The following is a 20517-nucleotide window of genomic DNA, read 5'->3' as shown; positions in this document are numbered from 1 at the left end:
CAGCCTCCCAATAAGCTGGGATTACAGGTGCCCGCCACTATGCCCAAATAATTTTTTGTATTTTTAGTAGAGACGGGGTTTCGCCATGTTGGTCAGGCTGGTCTCAATCTGCTGACCTCATGATCCACAACCTCAGGTTATCTGCCCACCTCGGCCTCCCTAAGTGCTGGAATTACAGGCGTGAGCCACCGTGCCGGGCCAACATTTTGTTTTATTTTCTAACTGTATTGGTGATATGTAAGAAACTTTGAATTTTATGTATTAATTTTGTCATGTTATAACCTAACTTCTGGCTTATCACATTCTCAGTGGTTTGAGATTTCTCCCCAGTTATTCCATTCTTTCATTTGCAAATAATGGCCACTTTAATGTCTTCTAACACTGCCCCCTCTTTTTTATTCTCTTGCTAGAGTTTACTGGTATGTGGCTGGGAATCTTTGGATTGCCACTAATGACAGTGGAAAAGCATTTCATGTTTAATAATTAAGTATAGTGCTGACTGTTGATTTGTGCTGGTGGATGTGGTGGAAAACAGAGCTTCAGATCATGGCCTCTGGAGCCATATTTACAGCATTCCATCCAAGTTTCGTTACTGCAACTCTGCGGCGTCACAGAAATTATTTAAACTCTCTGTGCCTCTGGCGGGCGCAGTGGCTCACGCCTGTAATCCCAGCACTTTGGGAGGTCGAGGCGGGCGGATCACGAGGTGAGGAGATCGAGATCATTCTGGCTAACACGGTGAAACCCTGTCTCTAACAATACAAAAAATTAGCTGGGCATGGTGGTGGGCGCCTGTAGTACCAGCTACTCGAGAGGCTGAGGCAGAATGGCGTGAACCTGGGAGGCGGAGCTTGCAGTGAGCCAAATTGCGCCACTGTACTCCAGCCTGGGCGACAGAGCGAGACTCCATCTCAGAAAAAAAAAAAAAAATTAACTCCCTGTGCCTCAATTTCCTCATCTGTAAAATGGGACAATGACACTTACAGAGTTTTCAGAAATTAATATTTGTAAAACACAAAGAGTTCCTGGCACATAACAGGTGCAAAATAAGTTTGCTATTTATTATAGCTTTCTACAAAGTATTCTGTTAAAATAGTTTAATAGTTGCTGAACTTTAGCTATTTTAAATTTTAAAATGTTTTAGGTTTTTTATGTTTTGTATATTTTTATTATCTTTTATTCTGATTAGTATTGTGATTTGTTTTATTAGATTTTGAAAAAAAGAAGTGATGAATTTGTCAAACCTCTTTTTCTACTGTCAATTAATTTCTGTTTTTCCCTTTTTGTTATAAATGTCATTCATAAATGTGTTTTAGTTTTATGAAATACGCAAAAAATCCATATACAAAAGAAAAATATAGAAAAGTAGAAATTTCCTCTTCAATTCTCAGTTTTAGTCTGCCTGGAAGTTTCCATAGCCACAAATTTGGTTGGGATCACCCTCTTTTACTCTAATGAATGTGCGTACATATTTATGTATTTATGCATCTACAAATGCATTTTACATGAATATATATTATTCTAAAACTCTCCAGTTTACAATATGTCTTAGCAAGATACTTTGTTTGATATAAAAATATCTGCCTGTTTCTCTCCAACAGCTACCTAGTGTATTCCATAGACAAGATGCAGACTCTGCTGTATAAGCACTTCCATATTCACAGCTGCAATAAGTATTCATGCACTTGTTTCTATTAACTCATGTGCAATTAATTTCTAAGGGCAATTCTGGGAGTGAAATTATTCTATAAATGGCAAGCCTGTTTCATGACGTGGTACCCAGAGTAATACTACTTCCCAATGAGTTTCTACCATTTACAGAACCACCAATACTTCGTGAAGAGAGTACCAGTGCTTGCATCCTTTCTATTATTAGGGCTTATTAATGATTTTAATTTTTGCCAATGGATGGGTGACAAATGTTTCCTTCTTACTTAGGTATCATTTTCTGTAAACACTGGAGAGTCTAAGCATCTTTTGGTATAACCAGTTGCTTTTGGGTGTGGGCTCTTTTTGACCCCACTTTCAGTGGAGCAGGTTGCATGTGTAAAGTCTAGTTTACAGCAATTGATCACAGTTCATAGGGTTTTTGCTGAGTGGGTCAGTGAGTGCTTTCTTTTGCAGGGCCGCCTTTGATCAGCAGATGGATTGTTGACTTGGCTCCAATCACACTTTTCAAGTTAATTTTAGGAGACAGACTAATTTAAAATCGCTCCTTTCCTGGTCCCTCTCTAAGTTCACTCACTGCCAATCTGAACTAAGGTGTCCTTCTCTAATGGGTGTCCATTCCGTGTTCATATATTGCATTTGACCCCTGACAAAGATTCTCTTCTTGACCAAACTCACCTCAGGGTCTTCTCTGCTCATTTTCAACTGGACCTCATCTTTGGGTATGTTCTCAATAGCCCAGTGTTAGCCGTAATTCTGTCAAACCCATTTAGCCAGAATCTGCCACCATCAAAATCTGATCCCTGTGAAAAGAGAGTAAATCTTGGGACCCCAAAAATCACTAAGCCGAAGGGAAAAGTCAAGGTGGGAAACACATCAGGCAAACCTGCCTCCATTTTATTCCTAAATAAGATAATTGCAAAGGTAAAAAAGCTGCATGTCTCCCTCACAATTTGCCCACAGTGAAACTCCTTGTGGGCCTCATAATCTTTACCCTAAAACAGTTCTGTTGAATGTCACTGTCAATGTAAAAAAAATTTTTTGTGAGACAGAGTTTCTCTCTTTTTGCCCAGGCTATAGTGCAATGATGCAATCTCAGCTCACTGCAACCTCTGCCTCCTGGGTTCAAGTGATTCTCCTGCCTCAGCCTCCCAAGTAGCTGGGATTACAGGCGCATGCTACCACACCTGGCTAATTTTGTATTTTTAGTAGAGATGAGGTTTCACCATGTTGGCCAGGCTGGTCCCGAACTCCTGACCTCAAGGGATCCACCCACCTTGGCCTCCCAAAGTGCTGGGATTACAGGCATGAGCCACTGCACCCGGCCTGCCAATGTAAATTAATAGCTTATCTTCACAGGTATGGTACAAAGGACATAACTCAAAGTCATCTTTCTGCTCACCTGAGACAAACGCATATCTGATTGTTCCTCTGTCCTATTGTTTATGCAAAAATGCAGATTCACTGAGCCAGACTAAGTCATAAGTGACCATTTCTCTACTCCTTCTCTCACATATAAACTGTGATTCAACGAAAGGCTGATCAAAGACTTGAAAGAATGCAAGTGTCTCTCATCTATCTATCCCCTGGAAGTTCCCACTTTGAGTTGTCCTGCCTTTCCAGACTGAAACAATGAACATGTTATAATTTATTGACGTCTGCCTAAAATGACACATAATTGATTGATGTCTCATGTCTCCCTAAAATGTATAAAACCAAGCTGTACCCCCAACTTGGGCACCAGTCGTCAGAAACTCCTGAGGCTGTGTCACAGGTACATCCTTAACTTTGGAAAAATAACATTTCTAGACTGATTGAGACTTGGCTCAGAGACTTTTGGATTTACATCACTATCCACATCTGATCAAATTCCTCATGCTCACTACCCCCAGGTGATCTCTGGTTACCCTGGGCCTGCTCTCAGATAGATCCTGTTAGATCAGTTTAGCAAAGCATTACCCCACCCTCTTAATAATTTTTAATTCACCCCCACCCCCACTTTGATCCTTGTCTATACACCCCCAAGTTTTCCTTCTTGTATTCATAGTTGAGTCCAATCTCTCTCTTCACTGCAAAGCCCTACTGTAGTAGTCCCCGGAATAAAGTTTGCCTTTCAGTCCCTTAACAAGTGTCAAGAATAATTATTTTCTTAAACAAAAGGTCAGCTCCCACTGCTGGGGTAGGGGTGCCTTCAGGGATCCATTGAGCTTATGCTTGGCATCATGAGGATTTTATCAGCTCCAAACAGTTTCTTTCAATTTGCTTCAAAACATTATTATATCAGGCGCAATGTGCTGAGAAGTTGCCAGTATGAAGTTTTAGTCATTTCCTAGTTAGAGTAGAGGAAATTATCTTCTTCAAAATTCATTTTAAGGAGATTTGCAAGCAGGCTTCTGTGTTGGTATCCTTCCTAGAAGTCTGAAGTCAATTCTTTATCACTGAGGGTCAGATTTTTATTCTATCCTAGGCTAGTGGGTTTTCCAGTAGTTTTGCTACTTACCAGTTCCGATGAGGTGTTAATATTAGTCAGAACCAGGCCTAAAACAAGGAACACTGGTATATTGCCCTTTGGTTAGTAGAGAAATCTGTAAATTTATACTTTTCCTTTTTTCTTTTTTTAGATGGAGTTTCATTCTTGTTGCCCAGGCTGGAGTGCAATGGCGTGATCTTGGCTCACCACAACCTCCTCCTGGGTTCAAGCAATTCTCCTGCCTCAGCCTCCTGAGTAGCTGGGGTTACAGGCATGCACCACCATGCCCAGCTAATTTTTTTGTATTTTTAGTAGAGATGGGGTTTCTTCATGTTGGTCAGGCTGGTCTCGAACTCATGACCTCAGGTGATCTGCCCGCCTCGGCCTCCCAAAGTGCTGGGATTACAGGTGTGAGCCACTGCACCAGGCTATACTTTTTCACAGTAGTAAGATGATTCAGAAAAGTTGTTCAGTGACGTAACCATCAGACGTCTGAGTAAATCAAGCCCAGATGGGAAGTCTGAGTGAAATGCCTGCCTGCTGGCAAGGCTGGGGAGGGCACAGGAGAGTGGAGGAGCAGGGCAGGTCCAGATGGGGTCTGGGAGAAGCACAGGTCCAGGAAGGGAGCTCGTCTGAGCAGAAAGGGCATGGAAGTGAGAGGAGATATTGGAGTGAGGAGGAAAAGGGGGTGTCAAGACGGGGGAAGGTGAAGCAACAGCAGGGAGAGGAGTCCCAGGAAGGGCAGCTGGGAGTGACAGTGGGGAGGAGAAAGAAGGGGTACTAGGGGAAACAAGCATCAGACTGAGGGACAAGGAAGAGTGCAGGTGGTGGAGGAAGGCAAGAGAAAAGGGACGAGAATGAGAGATACAGTGAGGGAAGTGATGGTAGGTGAGGGTGTGGTGGGGGGTGTCTGTCAAAAGAAATTTGGGGCTGCTGCTGAAATACTTCTATTTAAGTCCACCTCACATTACGAGGAAATTCTCCACTTTTTTAGCTTGCAGTGAGTCTCCATTGTTAATGAAAAAACCAAACACTGAAATATTTTAAAGAATTTATTCTGAGCCAATATAAGTGACTGCAGCCTGGAGAAAACACAAACTCAAAAGCCTTGAGTAAGTGTTCCCTAGGCAGTGGGGTTACAATTTGGTTTTATGCATTTTAGGGAGACAGAAATTGTAGGTAAAATTATAAATCAATACATGAAAAGCATACCTTGGTTAAGCCCAAAAAGGCAGGGCATCTTGAAATGGAGGCTTAGAAGGTATAGGTGGGTTTTAGAGATTCTTTAGTTGACAATGGGTTGAAAGAGTTAAGCTTTGTCTGAAGACTTCAAGTCAGTAGCAAGAAGTGCTTAAGATAAGGGGGTCTGCTATCTGCCATATGATGTTATACTAGAGTCAGGTTGGAAAGTAAGCCACATTATACTCGGTTAATTAAAAAACCCATTTAACAAGATTTTATGGTTTGCAGGGCATGACTCAACTCTTTCCTTACATAGCTTTAGGTCTTTTTTATGATTTGCTGTCTTATTGCCACAAAGAGTCTGTTTAATATTTAATTTTAGTGGTGTAAGCTAAAAATAAGATCCTAAGCCCCCAGCCAACTGAACAGACTCCCTGTTGGTCATGGAGATCCCAGAAAAACATTAAAAACTGAATTCCTGGCCATGACAGGAAGGGCGGTCAGACATGCCTCGTTACACTTTCCACCTTTTGGAGTTTAGGCACAAGCTACTATCATTAATGTTAACATAGAGATTATAAGATTTAATTCATCTTAGATTTTCTGGGGTCTCCTTGGTCAACAGGGAGTCTGTTCAGTCTGTCAGGGGCTTAGGATTTTATTTTTAGCTTACACCATTAAAACTTAATATTCACTGTGGGGCAATGAGTAATCTGCCCCTAAGATGAATTAAATCAATAGGGATAATGCATGCAAACAGTAAGTAAAGAGTAGGTTGGATGAAGTTAAAAAATAAAAGCAGGCCGGGCGCAGTGGCTCATGCCTGTAATCCCAGCACTTTTGGGAGGCCGAGGCGGGCAGATCACGAGGTGAGGAGATTGAGATCATCCTGGCTAACACGGTGAAACCCTGTCTCTACTAACAATACAAAAAATTAGCTGGGCGTGGTGGCGGGCGCCTGTAGTCCCAGCTACTCGTGAGGCTGAGGCAGGAGAAAGGTGTGAACCCGGTAGGCGGAGCTTGCAGTGAGCCGAGATTGCGCCACTTCGCTCAGTCTGGGCAACAGAGTGAGACTCCGTCTCAAAAAAAAAAAATAAAATAAATAAAGATAAATAAATAAATGAATAAAAACAAAAGCTATTCTGGTCCTGAGTGTTAAAAATAAATTATCTTTAACTCATACAGACTGTGTAAGTGCAACTTAATTAATTAATAAAGTAGTGTTTGAGACTAAGGAAACTGAATTGTTTGGGACGCCTGTTGCTCTCCCATCGGGAAGCTTGGAGTCGAAGGCTCGCTGCAAGCTGATTGAGAGTCTGGCATGTTCTTTCTGCTTCCTCAGTCTTTTGAGCCACATAAAGCAGGAGGTGGCTCTTGGAGAACTGAGGAACAAACCTGGAATTGCCTCCCTGAGTTCAGCACTTATAGGCATGAGCTTTCTCAAGTTGAGTGGCAGCAGGAAGAAAGTTGCGTCAGCTCCATTGAACTCCATGTGACACCAGGAAGTGTTTCTACCCAGGAGCGAAAGCACACCTTAATACTCACACGGAAAGGTTAGGTCACCTGCGCCCAGTCTGATTCGTGTTCGGTAGTGACTTTCTTAGGCTATGCTGGGAAGTTTAAGGCCAAGTCAGGACCTAAAGGGAGAGAGGGTGGTCCTCACCTAGCGATGTATGAGTATCTGTATTTTAACTTTGTAAAATGTTTTCATTTAAAGTTGCTTAAGGAAAATGTAGTTAAGTAGTGGCTGATATATAGATATTTTAAAAATTACTCACAACATGACCATAAGACAAAAATGCAAGTGTCTATCTCTCAGTGTCCTTTGGGGGCAATTTAACAGGCCCAGCAAGGGCTTATTTGGAGGAATAGACCTTGTGTGACTCATTGCTAGCTAATGGTCCCCAGTTAAATGAAGTTACACTTTAACTTGTAGATTTTTGGCTGATAGAGATACAAATAGTTTCTGTCTGGTAGAGAACATATGTCCCAAGGTGTCACAGACTCTGGACCAGTAGGATTTTAGCCAGTTTTCTATCCAATTTAACAAACTTAGAATAACATTACTTTAAATTGGGTATACAACCTACCTCTTTAAGGCCGGGCATGGTGGCTCACGCCTGTAATCCCGGCACTTTGGGAGGATGAGGCGGGCGGATCACGAGGTCAGGAGATCGAGACCATCCTGGCTAACACGGCGAAACCCCGTCTCTACAAAAAATACAAAAATTAACCTGGCGTGGTGGCGGGCGCCTGTAGTCCCAGCTACTCAGGAGGCTGAGGCAGGAGAATGTCGTGAACCCGGGAGGCGGAGCTTGCAGCGAGCCGAGATTGCGCTACTGCACTCCACCTTGGGCGTCTCAAAAAAAAAAAAAAAAAAACCTCTTTAAATACTCTTTGAACCAGCTTTATAAGCTTACTGACTCCCTCATTAATAAGTTGAATAAAATCTTTGATATCCTTTCATGTCTTTGCGTGTATGTTTGTGTTTTGAGATAGGGTCTTGCTCTGTTACTCAGGTTGGAGTGCAGTGGCATGATCACAGCTCACTGCAGCCTCGACCTCCTGGGCTCAAGCGATTCTCCCACCTAAGCCTCTTGAGTAGCTGGGCCTATAGGCGTGAGTCACTATGCACAGCTATTTTTTTTTTTTTTAATTTTTTGTAGAGACGGTGTCTCACTATGTTACCCAGGCTGGTCTCAAACCCTTGGGCTCAGTGATCCCCTTGCTTCAGCCTCGCCAAGTGCTGAGATGACAGGCATGAGCCACCTCTCCTGGCCCTGCATTCATTTTATATTTGTTTGATGGTCATTTTTTTTTTCACTTTTGAAAGTTATACTTTTAACATGAACATGGTATCAAATTGTGCCTAGATATTTGCATATCTCTGAATCTTCCTTAAAAACAGTTTTGCAAATGCTTAATTTTTATTTTAACAATTTTTCAGCTGAAGCATGATTATTGACAGAAAAAAAGTTTAGCATGTTTTATTCCTCTTAGGAGAAACCTGGTTATAGACTATATGGCTATTGACGTATATAACAGAAAATGAGTGGTAACTTTTTAATGCGTCTTCATAAGAAACTACAAGGAATAGTGAAACATCCTGTTGCTGGGATTAGGAGACAGGATAAAAAGTTGAAAAAAAATACTTTTTTAAAGAGATAATTTAAATATTTCTATTTGCACTGCATTGGAGGTAGATAAGTCTTCTTGTCATTGCAACCCAAACTATAGTTTTGGCATTTAAAAAATGTTTTTGAACCAGTATAATGATTCTTAGTCTTTGTGAAACCCTGGAATCACTTGAAGGACTTTGAAACTGCCAGTGCCTGGTTCCGTTCCCAGCACATCCAATTTAATTGATGTAATCATGGCCTTGACACTGAGATTTTAAAGATATATTTAATTCACAAATAAAGAATTGTATATATTTAAAATATACAACATGATGATTTGATATACATGTACATTGTGTAATGATTAGCACAATCAAATTAATTTACACATTGTCTAGGTGAGAACCATGGCCAACATAGACAATCACCAAGATGTTCTCAGGGCCTTATTAAAAACCAAAATTCATGGTTCCCACCACTCAGAGGTTCTCATTCAGGTAGTTTCAATTGGCAACAAAGAATCCTCAGTAAATGCTAATGATCAATCAGGTCTGGGATTTTAGTAGAATTGGTAACAGGATTGATTACACAAACCAGAAATTTTTGCCTTATCATATCCAGCTCCAGCTATTATCCTTAACTGGCTTTGTTCATTCACATGTTGGAAATTTAGTTTTCAATATTTTAGTAGGGAAATCTTATTTTGGGAGAGGAGGAGGTTCAATGTAATATTGAGAGGAGACAAGGTATTTTCATAGGAGGAAACAATAGCTCCATAATTGAAGTACAAAAATTGTATTTTATTGAACTTATGTAATTTCCACTGGCGTATATTTGTTAATTGGGGAAATGAATTCAATCACAAGGGGAGAAAAATCATTTCTCGGTTTTCTAAATTGAAATCTTCCAGAAATACTGAAGACTGATAAAACCTTGGCGCCACTACAACATCACGATGTGGAATGGGGCTGCTGCTGCCCTAACACTGGATAATTATAAACATCTCTCTGAAACGCACAGAAAGCTTTCAGCATAGGAACCTGCTGTCTCTAAATTGGGGACTAAGAAGCACACTCCAGCTGGTGAGCGGCAAGCTCCATCTAGCCCTCTCTTTACCTGTTTGACTGTTTCTCTCAAAGGGGATGAACATGAAAGTTTACTTTCAGAAACAATAAACATTAATCGAATTTGTTCCACTTTTTAAATTTTATGTTCTCATAATGGTATGGGAACTCTGTTGTCCCCACCCAAATCTCACCTTGAATTATAATAATCCCCAAGTGCCAAGGGTGGGACCAGGTGGAGATAATTGAATCATGGGGACGGTTTCCCCCATGCTGTTCTCGTGATAATGAGCAAGTGCTTACAAGATCTGACGGTTTTATAAGTGTCTGACATTTCTCCTAATGGTTCTCTTTTTCTCTCCTGCTGCCCTGTGAAGAGGGGCCTTCTGCCAGGATTTTAAGTTTCCTGAGGCCACCCCAGCCATGTGTAACTCTGAGTCAGTTAAACCTCTTTTCTTTGTAAATTACTCAGTCTCCAGTATGTCTTTATAGCAGTGTCAGAACAGACTCATACACATAAGGAAATTAAAAGAACATTAGAGTTGCATGCTTAACATTGATGCTGGTTGGAAAATCAAATTTTCATTCAGGTAGAGATAGAGGATATAGAACTTGGGATTCACTGAGTTAAACAGAATTGCAAAAAGTAACTAAGTTAATCATTCAAGGTCAGATATTTCTTGTTTGCAAGATAGTTTTTATTTTTATCTTATAACTTGACCATTTCAGGCTTCTCAAGGAATTTTTATGATAAGCATGCATTTACACAAGCATAAATAGTATATAATGAATAGCATAGAATTATATAAGTATAAATGCTGTTGAAGCAAACATGAATAGAAAAAAATAAACTTATATCTACATGCCACCAAACTACAAAATCTTAATATAAAATTGTATTTGTTTTGTTTTAGATTTTACAAATATTAAAACTAGATATAAAATCGAGGCTCACAGTGTTTCTATCAGAGATCCAGTTCCATTTATTCTATCCCCATGTATAACTTCATGCATATATGTTTATATAAACATATATGTTTATATACATCTATAGGCATACACACATACATGCACATATATATGTATATGTATACAAGAATGCACTGCATTCTTTTGCAGGCTTTTATCTTTTATATAAATAATATCATACAGTGTGGACAAAGAAACTTGCTCTTTTCTCTTAAAATTGTTTTTGAAATTTGTACATGTTGATCCAGGAATCTCTAGAATTCATTTTAATTGCTCAGTTAAGTTTCATTTTAAGAATATTTTGCCAATATTTATAAAAAATCTTTACATACTTAAAATATTATATATTTTCATTTATTAGAGTACTTTGTGATGTACATTTTCATCAAACCAAACTTATCGATTTTGCTATCCCAACAGTCTATAGTATTTCCAGTGTATTCTGATTTTTCTACCCATTTCTGAAATTAGTCCATTAAAAATCTCCTATTATGATTGTGGGTTGGTCCATTTCTCCTTAAATTTCTGGCAGGTTTTGCTGTATGTATTTAAAGGTTGTAAATATTAAGTGCATATAAATGTGACTAACATGGATACTGGGCGGATTTTTCCATGTATTAATATGTAGTGATTGTTATTGCTTTTTGACATAAAATCTATTTTGTCTGTTATTAACATTACCATACTGGTTTTTTGGTCAATACTGATATAGTATTTTTTATTCCACCACTTTATTATTTTTTTTCTCTGTGTGTATATATAACAGGGCTCCTTCAATCAGCTTATAGCTACGCTTAATATATCCAGTAAGATGCTTTCTGTCTTTTAATAGATGACCTTGAGTGCATTTCTATTTATGGTGATTCCAATATACCCCAAATTAACTATCATGTATGGTGGGTTTTCTTTTAATATCCTTTTTCCTCTTCCACGTTGCATTGTTTGTTTGTTTTCTTTTTCCTTATCTTCTTTTGGATAAAGTCTTTTTTCCTGCGCATTCCATAGTTTACCCAGTAAGCATTAAACCAGAAGTCACCTCTTATTCTAGAATAGTCTGATTGTTCCGTATCTAGGTTACCCTTGCACTTTTAAAAAAATCGACAGATAACATTGTACATTTTTATCATGTACAACATGATGCTTTGAAGCATGTATATACATTGTGGAATGGTTTAATCTCATCATCAACAAATACATTACCACACACGGTTATTATGTTTTTGGTGACAGCACATGACATCCACTTTCTTCACATTTTTCAGGCATACATTATATCATCATTAACTTTAGTCACCTTGTGGTACAGCCTATCTGTTGAAATGTATTCCTCCTATCTGTGATCCTATATCCTTTGACCAACATCTCCCCATCCTCTGCTCCCTGCTAATAACCCCAGCTTCTGGTAAGCACTGTTCTACTCTCTACTATGTGCTCAACTTTTTCCATATTCCTCTTAAGTCTTTGTATGTCTGAAAATGTTCTTTTTTTTTTCTCTTGCTGTTTTTAAATTCTAGGCTAACAGTTATTTTCCTCAGCAATTTAAAGATTTTTGAACTACTGAAATTTTCCTCCATTGTTGTTGAAAAGGCAGTCAGCTGTCTGTCCAGTTAATGGCCTTTGTACATAATTGGCTCATTCATTTTGATGTTCTACAGTTTTGCTTCAATATATCTAGGTATGGACTTAGTATTATTTATTCTGTTTGGGGCTTGACATACCTTTTTAAAAGCAAGGATTCATGTTATTAGTTCTGGAACATTCTCAGATACTATTGCTTAAAATACTGTTTTTTTCTTAATTAGAGTTATGTTGTATTTTCTCATTTTATCCTCCTTACCTCCTACCCTTTCTTCTTTTTTTCTTTGTTGTCTCTGTGATGAACCTCACGTAGTTCAGACTGTTGTATTTTTATTCCACCACTTCTCCCTTCAGAGATATCTAAGCTGCTATTTAGTATACCTGTTTACGATTTAGATGTCATTATCTATATTTTTCTGGCCAGAAGTGGCAGCGTCTCCAGCCATTCTTCATCCCCAGCAGGTCTCAGCTGCACTGGGGACCTAGGCCAGGAGCACCATGATCCTCTAAGAATAAACAGAACCAAAGAGAAGAAATCCAAAATAAAATAAACAGAAAAAAGTAGAATAAAAACTTCATATAGATGAAGACCCAAAATGATGAAATCGTATAGAAAATAGTGGTAATTTTATTTAAAAATACGAAGTTACTTGTATTTTGGTTATTTATATTGCTTGAAATAATCAAGGAGCGAAAACCTTTGACAAGCCATTTAAAATGAAAGAAAAACCACACTTCAGAAATAATAACGGTCATATATTAATATGCAGCAATAATAGGATTATTAGGTTGATACAAAATGTAATAGTTTTATTACATTGAAAGTAATGGCAAAAACCACAGTTACTTTTGCACCTACCTAATAAAAAGCAATAAGGTTTTTTTGTATAACGCTACAGGAATAACTGGCAAGTCTGCATAAAACTAATGGTTTTGAAGAAGATGTGCTGTCAAAATTAACTCAGATGTAAGAAAAAAGTGAATAATAACACATGAGTAATAGAAATTATGTTAATGCAAAATAGTAAACGTAGTAAAAGTTTCAGATGTAATACAAGAAAGAAACTTGTGGCGGGGGGCATTTCCTGATGAGAGATGGGGACAATATGGCAAAGCATTGGCTGGTTCTTGCTGCAGGAGGGCTGAGGCTATGGTGTCAGAGTCTTTTTCGGTTGTCACACCACCCCTAACTCCACTCAAGAGTTTTTTTTAAAAGCCACGTGAGTTGCTACAGATTTGCAAAAACAGTTGGTAAAATTCTACATGCCTTCGTGACTAACAGTTATCATGCTGGTATCAGAAAGGTACATTTTAAAGAAGCTTGCCAATAGCTTTGTCTTGATAGGCAAACATTAGACATATTCCCAGCAAAATAAGAGACAAAGTGGCTAACATCACCACTTCAATTGTGGCTTTTATTTATTTTTTGAAAAGGCTCCACATCACTCTTGGTTCGAAAGAATCCTGCTGCAACTTTCCTGAAAATGATTTTACTGGAACGCCACAGAATCTACACAATTCAAGAGCAGCACTATTTAAAACCTGGCAGAGAGCATCCATTTAAGTTTCCTTTTCTCCTTTATGCGGAAATGATTTTCTGGGAATTACTGATAATTCATATTAATGAATTTTTCTCAAAATTGTCGCCCCCAGCTGGCCCCTGAGCTCTGGCTGTCCGGTGTTCCCAGAGCCACCTGGGCCCAACCTTCTACATTCCTGGAAATTGGGGCTCTGACAGGGCCAGTGTCAATATGGAGTGATTATATTGGTGCCATCCTGATCTCTTTCAGGGCAGTTTTATATTATCCACCATGAAACCAACTGCAGCCCTTTAAGGGAGTGTGGGTGGTGGATACAGGCTTCAGTGGGAGCGTTGACTTGCCTAGCATCTCAGGTGGGAGGGAAGAGCTGTAAGCAGAACCCAGGTCTCTGACCAGCCATGCCTGCTCCATGGGGCCTCCTTCCACTCGTGTTGAAGCCAGGAGGAGGAGCAAATGCAGCCAGCAAGCTGCTTGGTGCCGGCCCCCTTGCCCAAGTCTACCCTGCGGTGCTCCGTGTACTACTACCTCTGGTCCTCTGGGCACTATGTCACTGTTTGCCATGTGGCTCCATCAAGACTGTTCTCTCCTGCTTTAATGATTTTCTTGATAGCTATGATTCTTCTGTCATACAATGAGGTTGATGATAAAAACACATGATTGTAACAAGTATGAGTTATTAGTAACAGCTGTGATTCAAAGATAAAATTAAGAACAAGGAGAGTTTCCACTGTTTTCTGATGATTAAAATAATTCTGCATTGATGGATTCTTTGTCATTGTTATGACTAGTGTTAGGGAATAATTTTATGTGAACAAACTCATGAATGAGTCCAGTCAATGTGAAAGTTGTCAAAGAGGATGGCTTTCTGAAAGGATTACGTAACAACAAAAACAGCAAACCAGCAGCAGAGAAGACAACCATTATTTATTTAATGTGTACAGTTTGCTAGGAAGGCAAAGTGTTGTGTTTTACTTTAAAATCTCACAAAAATATATGAAAAGTTTATTTTATTGTTCCCATTCCACAGATGGAATGGATTCTCTGTTTCTTCTACTAAAGAAACAAAGCTCTGATATAATATAATGTGCTCCTTCATGCAACAGCAACTGTGTATGGGCCCGCTTTGGAAAGTTCACAAGCTTTGTGTTAGAGATGGAGGGATTTTAAAGTGAGATGTGTCTTGGAAAGGGCATTTCTTTAATTTACACCCATGTTATTTCCGCTCTGTCATGAGTATGACAAAAGCCAGCTAATGCGGAGTCTGCCAACATACGTGGACTAGATTGTGTCCACATGAGGAGCTGAGTCTGTGCAATTAGCAGTGACACTTTGTGATTAGTTAGGATGCAGAAGTGGAAATTCTGGGTCTGTTGCATATTAGAATGGAAAATCGTTTCTTCTAACACAAGTACAAAAATAGCTATTCAGGTGGTAGCTTATGCTGAGGAGGAATCATATAATTCCAAATTTTAAACACAAATATCATTGCAAGTATTTTGAGACAATGTCTAATTATCCTACAGTAATCAAGATGTTTGAGAAGATTCTACATCATGCCTAACGGTTCCTTATTCACTTCTCCCTCCACCCAGATTCCAACAAGTTGACAAACGGTGCAAATGTCAGAGATTAAAATATCTCCTTCATTGCTGATAAGGCTGAGTTGGCGAATTCTTCTTGGATCCAATACAAAAATGAGATTGTTTCCATTTCTCACCTGAATTAAACTTACAGGGCAGAGGTGACCTGCTTAGTGAGCAGGCCACGTTCAGCAATAGCAGATCAAAGACCCGTATGTCTTGTGATCTTCATGAAGTGGCTGGCAAGGCCAGAGATTCTGATCCCATCACCACGTGTTAATCTCCTGTCAAGAGAAATAAGGAGCTACTGAGAGAAAAGCAGATCCTGACTCCCCTCTACTTGTGAGTGACTACAAAATCCTATTTTGTGGCGTGAGGCAGGAGCCTAGAGAGATTGGAGAAAAAAGCTGCTCCTCTAGAATATGAAAATACCGTTTAAAGGGAAAGAGATTAATTAGTGATTGAGCGCATTCAGTGCTGTCTCTCCTCCTATTTATCTGGCTGCCTGTTGTCTGCATGGCCTCCTGCTACTCATTGTGGGTAACATCGGAGACCTTCATCTGCAGGAAGATAGAAAAAGGTACGTGCACGCAAACATTGAATTCAGTACTCAAATAATAACACAATAAGCATATCACAACACACCAGATGCTCTCGAAAAGCAGAAATTTCATTGTATCCATATAGATGAGAAGCTTATGAATTCTGATGAGGACAAGATCATTACTGACTGAGTCATGAGGGGGATTTCCATGGGGCTGGTGCTTCCTTAGAAAAATGTGTTCTTGAAGGGCAGGCAAGGTCGTGTAAGAGAGGCTTGTAGGAGAGAGGTTGTATGGAGTGTAAAACTAAGGAGTCTTTGGGGATCACTGATGAGAATGACACGTTTCAAAGTTTCAGGCAATGCCTTAGGAAAACCTGAGGAGCCTGTGCCTTGTTCACTGGGAGAGGTAACTTGGGCAAAGAGGACTTTGGGAGGGGTTGGAAACAATAGCCTATGCAGGGGGTCATATCCTAAATTAGGAGAAAGGGGAATGGAATTAAAAGGGTGTTGGATGTGGGGATTGTTACACAGGTGGCTTCTATGTGATTCCATTCTCTTCAGATTTGTGATGCAGAGACTATTAACAATACAGTATCAGGGACAGGAAAGTGTCCAAAGGACTTGCTGAGAAAGATAACTGGGAGGCACAGTGGGTCACAGCTTCTCTGCACCATAGAGGGAGTTGCCTTGGAGCCTTGCAGATCATGGCCACATTCACACTGTCTATATTGGTTGGGGTTTGGTCTGTGTTGTGATGACTTGAATCAGTTTGGGACAACTTAATCTCACCTGGCTCATCTGCCATCTATTCATCCTTCCTCAAGGAAGGCACAGCATAGAACTGCACCTCACACAAAATGGGCATTGATTATTTGTGGACTCTGGATGCATGTAATGGCAGGGATTGGTTGAGACATCAGAGAATTCTGGGGACAAATCCTGGCTTTAACACTTCCTAGAGAGTTCACCATACATAGACAAATACAATTTCTGTGAGTTCTTGAAATAGTGAAAATAATACCTCTCTCAATGAGTTGTCTTAAAAAATAAATAATGTAATGGAAAGTGCCTGGGACAAAGCATCAATGAATTGTTGTTCAGAAAATGCCAATTTACCTCTGAATTCCTTTTCTATGTATTCCATGATTTGTTGCTACTTGTGGCCTCCATGACCTTGAACAATCTCATCTATAAAATCCTTCATCTCTGTGCTTTTCAGTTCCGTTTAGATAATTATGTACTTTTAGTGAATTCTCATAATATGCCAGACACAGCACTAGGTCCTGAATACACAGAGCACAGTAAAATATGGTCTCTCTCTGCTTTACAGGGGCTTATGATCAGGCAAAGGAGACACCAGGAAAGAGGAGCAGAGTGGCTAGGGCAGTGCACTGCAGATGCATGGACGAAAGCTCGCAGCGACACAGGTATGGGGTGTCTAATCAGGGATGAGTGTGAGCAGCAGAATGAGGAGCATGCTTTCCCAGAGGAAGAGAGGAAGCCACTGGAGAGATGAAGGATGCCATGGACAGGTAAAAGAGTGTGGAGTGGCATTTGTTGCCTACCACCACTTTCATATTCTATGCTTGTAGAGGGAGTGGCCTTGGAGCCTTGCAGATCATGGCCACACTCAAGCTGTTGATCTTGGTTGGGGTTTGGTCTGTGTTCTGATGGCTTGAATCAGTTTGAGACAACTTAATCTCACCTGGCTCGTCTGCCTTCTACTTGTCAAACAAACATTTTGCAGCAACTCTATATTCTGCTACTTTTTTTCTCCTATGCTTGGTGCCCACAGAGAGCGACCACAGTGACAAACATAAAGGCAAACAAATATCAGTATATTGAGCATTAACTGGTTCACCCACTGTTTTAGATACTTCATGTATACTCTTATTTAATTTTCACTTTTTCGTACAAAAATTGGTTCAGAGAGGAAAAGTGAGTTAGCCAATGTTATACATAGTAAATAGTAGAACATGTAGATTGGTCCACACATTAGGATTCCAAGTTCAGCGTTCTTTCCACGGTGTTATATCATATCTTTACTGTGTTCCAATGAGGACATTTCTGTGAGATGGTGCAAAGCTATAATGTATCTTGTGTATGTGTGTGTAATACATGAGTTTTGCCTAGCTAATGTATTTAAACAATTTTCATATAAAAAATTATCCATTGTAAGTGTGCAATTCAGTGACTTTAGTTACTTTAAGTTGTTTAGTCATCATCACAGTCCAGTTTGAGGCATTCCCTCACTCTGAAAGTGGCCCCTGCTCATTTGCAGTCATTTTCTGCTTCCACACCCAGTCCCGTGCAGACACTGATCTGCTTTCTTTATATATAAATTTGACTGTTATAGATATTTCATATAAATGGAATGTCTAATAAGTAGTCTTCCTTCTTTCCTTCCTTTTTTTTTTTTCTGAGACAGAATCTCTCTCTGTTGCCCAGTCTGGAGTACAATGGTGCAATCCTGGCTCACTGCAGTCTCCAATTCTGGGGGTCAAGTGATCTACCCACTTGAGCCTCCTGAGTAGCTGGGACTACAGGCACATGCCTCCATGTCTGGCTAATTTTTATTTTTCATTTTTAATTTTTTTAGAGATGGGGGTCTTACTATGTTGCCCAGGCTAGTCTTGAACTCCTGGGCTCAAATGATCCTCCTACCTCAGCCTCCCAAAGTGCTAGGATTACAGGCATGAGCCACTGCACTATGTCTGTAGTCTTTCTTATACAGCTTTTTCTGGCTGCAGTTAATGGAGCTTCCTGTATGTGTAGATTAATTCATTCATCAAATTTGTGAAGTCTTCAGCCATTATTTCTTCAAATAACTTTTCCTCCTCTTAGAGTCCTTTTTCTGGGACTCTCATATGCTTATGTGGGTATACTGGGTATATTTCTATAGGTGTTTGAGACAATGTTTATTTTTACTTTCAATTTTTCTTTCTCTGTGCTCTTCATATTGGATACTTTCTATTAATCTGTCTCTAAATTTACTGATTACTTCATCTGCCATCTCAAATTGCTGTGAAGTCCCCTCTGTAGGAAACTTCATTTCAGGTTAATTTACTTGTCAACTCCAAAATTTCCATTTGGTTCTTTTTTATAATTTGTATATGTTTATCGAGACTCTCGATTTGTTAATTCATTGTTATCATACATTAATTCTTTAAACTTGAATAACTTCAATGCTATGAATGTATTTATAATAGTTACTCTGAAGTCTTTGATTACTAAATCAAAGACTGGGTCAAAATAACTTGTCTTCTGTGATGTGCAGCCATTGATAATTCAGCTTAAGTGCTTTTTGTTGCTGTTCTTGAATTTTTGTTTTCATACTTACTTCCTAGGGTTTGTACCTGTGTCAGCCTAGCTTAGTAGTCTATTGCTCAAATACTTTCAGCCAACAAGGCTTCTATCCCCTGCTCATGGATCAGAGATCAGGTCATTTTCAAGTCGCCAGGCTTTGGCTTTTCATGGGGCCCCAGAGAGTCTCCTGTGTACACATGTGTAGCCCCAGGGTCAGCCAGGAGAGTGTATATAAACTGAGCCCTCTGTTCTTCACTGCATACATGTGCAGCCTGAACCAGGAATATGTGCTTCCCAACCATGACCACAAACTCAGGCTCATAGAGACAAAAGTTAGACTCCCACTTGCCCCCAACCTCTCCAAAGTCCCTTCCCCAGAGGACACCTTGGCAGTGGGCATCACTGCTGCTCCACGTCAAGTGGACTTCCTTCCATCATGGCAGAAGACAGAGAGCCCAGTCCTAGCAGAATCTCCATAGTGACTGATCCGGGGCTGAGTCCCCCAGGCCAGAATGCCACACATCACCACTGATCTTATTCAAAATTGAGTAGTTCACCAATTTCCAGAGCAACAAATGGTGGTTATTGAAGATTTTTTTCACCTTATATTCGCTTTTTGGGGAGAGAATTCACTGATCTTTTCTCTTGGCCATGGCCACTCTCCTTACTATTTTTGCAACTGCTCTGGACATCTAAAATTATCTCAAATAAAAAGTTTAGGCCAGGTGCAGTGGCTCATGCCTGTAATCCCAACACTTTGGGAGGCCAAAGCAGATGGATCACAAGGTCAGGAGATCGAGACCATCCTGGCTAACATGGTGAAACCCCGTCTGTACTAAAATTACAAACAATTAGCTGGGTGTGGTGGCATGCGCCTGTTGTCCCAGCTGCTCGGGAGGCTGAGGCAGGAGAATCACTTGAACCCGGGAGGCAGAGGTTGCAGTGAGCTGAGGTCACGCCACTGCACTCCAGCCTGGGCGACAAAGTGAGACTCCATCTCAAAAAAAAAAAAAAAAGTTCAATTAATTATGACATTTCTTCCTTCCTTTCTACTTTTTTTTTTTTTGTCGTGAAATCCTGGAATGAAGGAGGCAGAAGTGGGTTAATAATTCTGTATAATTCATCCTCTGCAAGTATGAATCTGGTAGAATTCTCTGGAACACTGACTTTGCTAGCCATTAAGAGTCCTAGGCTCTGTCCCATCAGCTGGGGGTGGGGAAGTTGGAAGGTGGGAAATATCTGCTGGAGCCCTTTCCCCACAGCAGAGGTAGATTAGTAAGATGATCCTTTTGGTCATAAATTTGGGACATCCTTCAGCATGTCTAGCAAAAATAGTTTAAATAGAGGAGATAAGGTAAAAACTTAATAAAACTTCTTATTTGGGGGATTATAACAAATGGGTGGATATACAAAAAGCCTGCCACATTCTGTAGATAAATGTCCAACTTTAGGGACACCCAAAATTCAATAACATGACATGAAAAAAAGTATCTGAA

General features: G+C 39.8%; 1 long non-coding RNA gene across 1 annotated transcript in view; it reads left to right on the top strand.

Annotated features, from left to right (window-relative positions):
• LINC01508 (long intergenic non-protein coding RNA 1508) overlaps positions 1-20517 on the top strand; it is a 132594-nt gene that overhangs the window by 32723 nt on the left and 79354 nt on the right. Inside the window, exon 2 of the long non-coding RNA NR_109795.1 lies at positions 17046-17247. This is a non-coding gene — a long non-coding RNA (long intergenic non-protein coding RNA 1508). The remainder of the gene's footprint in view (positions 1-17045; positions 17248-20517) is intronic.

This window comes from Homo sapiens, chromosome 9, assembly GCF_000001405.40.
Source record: "Homo sapiens chromosome 9, GRCh38.p14 Primary Assembly".
NCBI lineage: Eukaryota > Metazoa > Chordata > Mammalia > Primates > Hominidae > Homo > Homo sapiens.
This window is presented reverse-complemented; position numbering and strand designations above follow the sequence as displayed.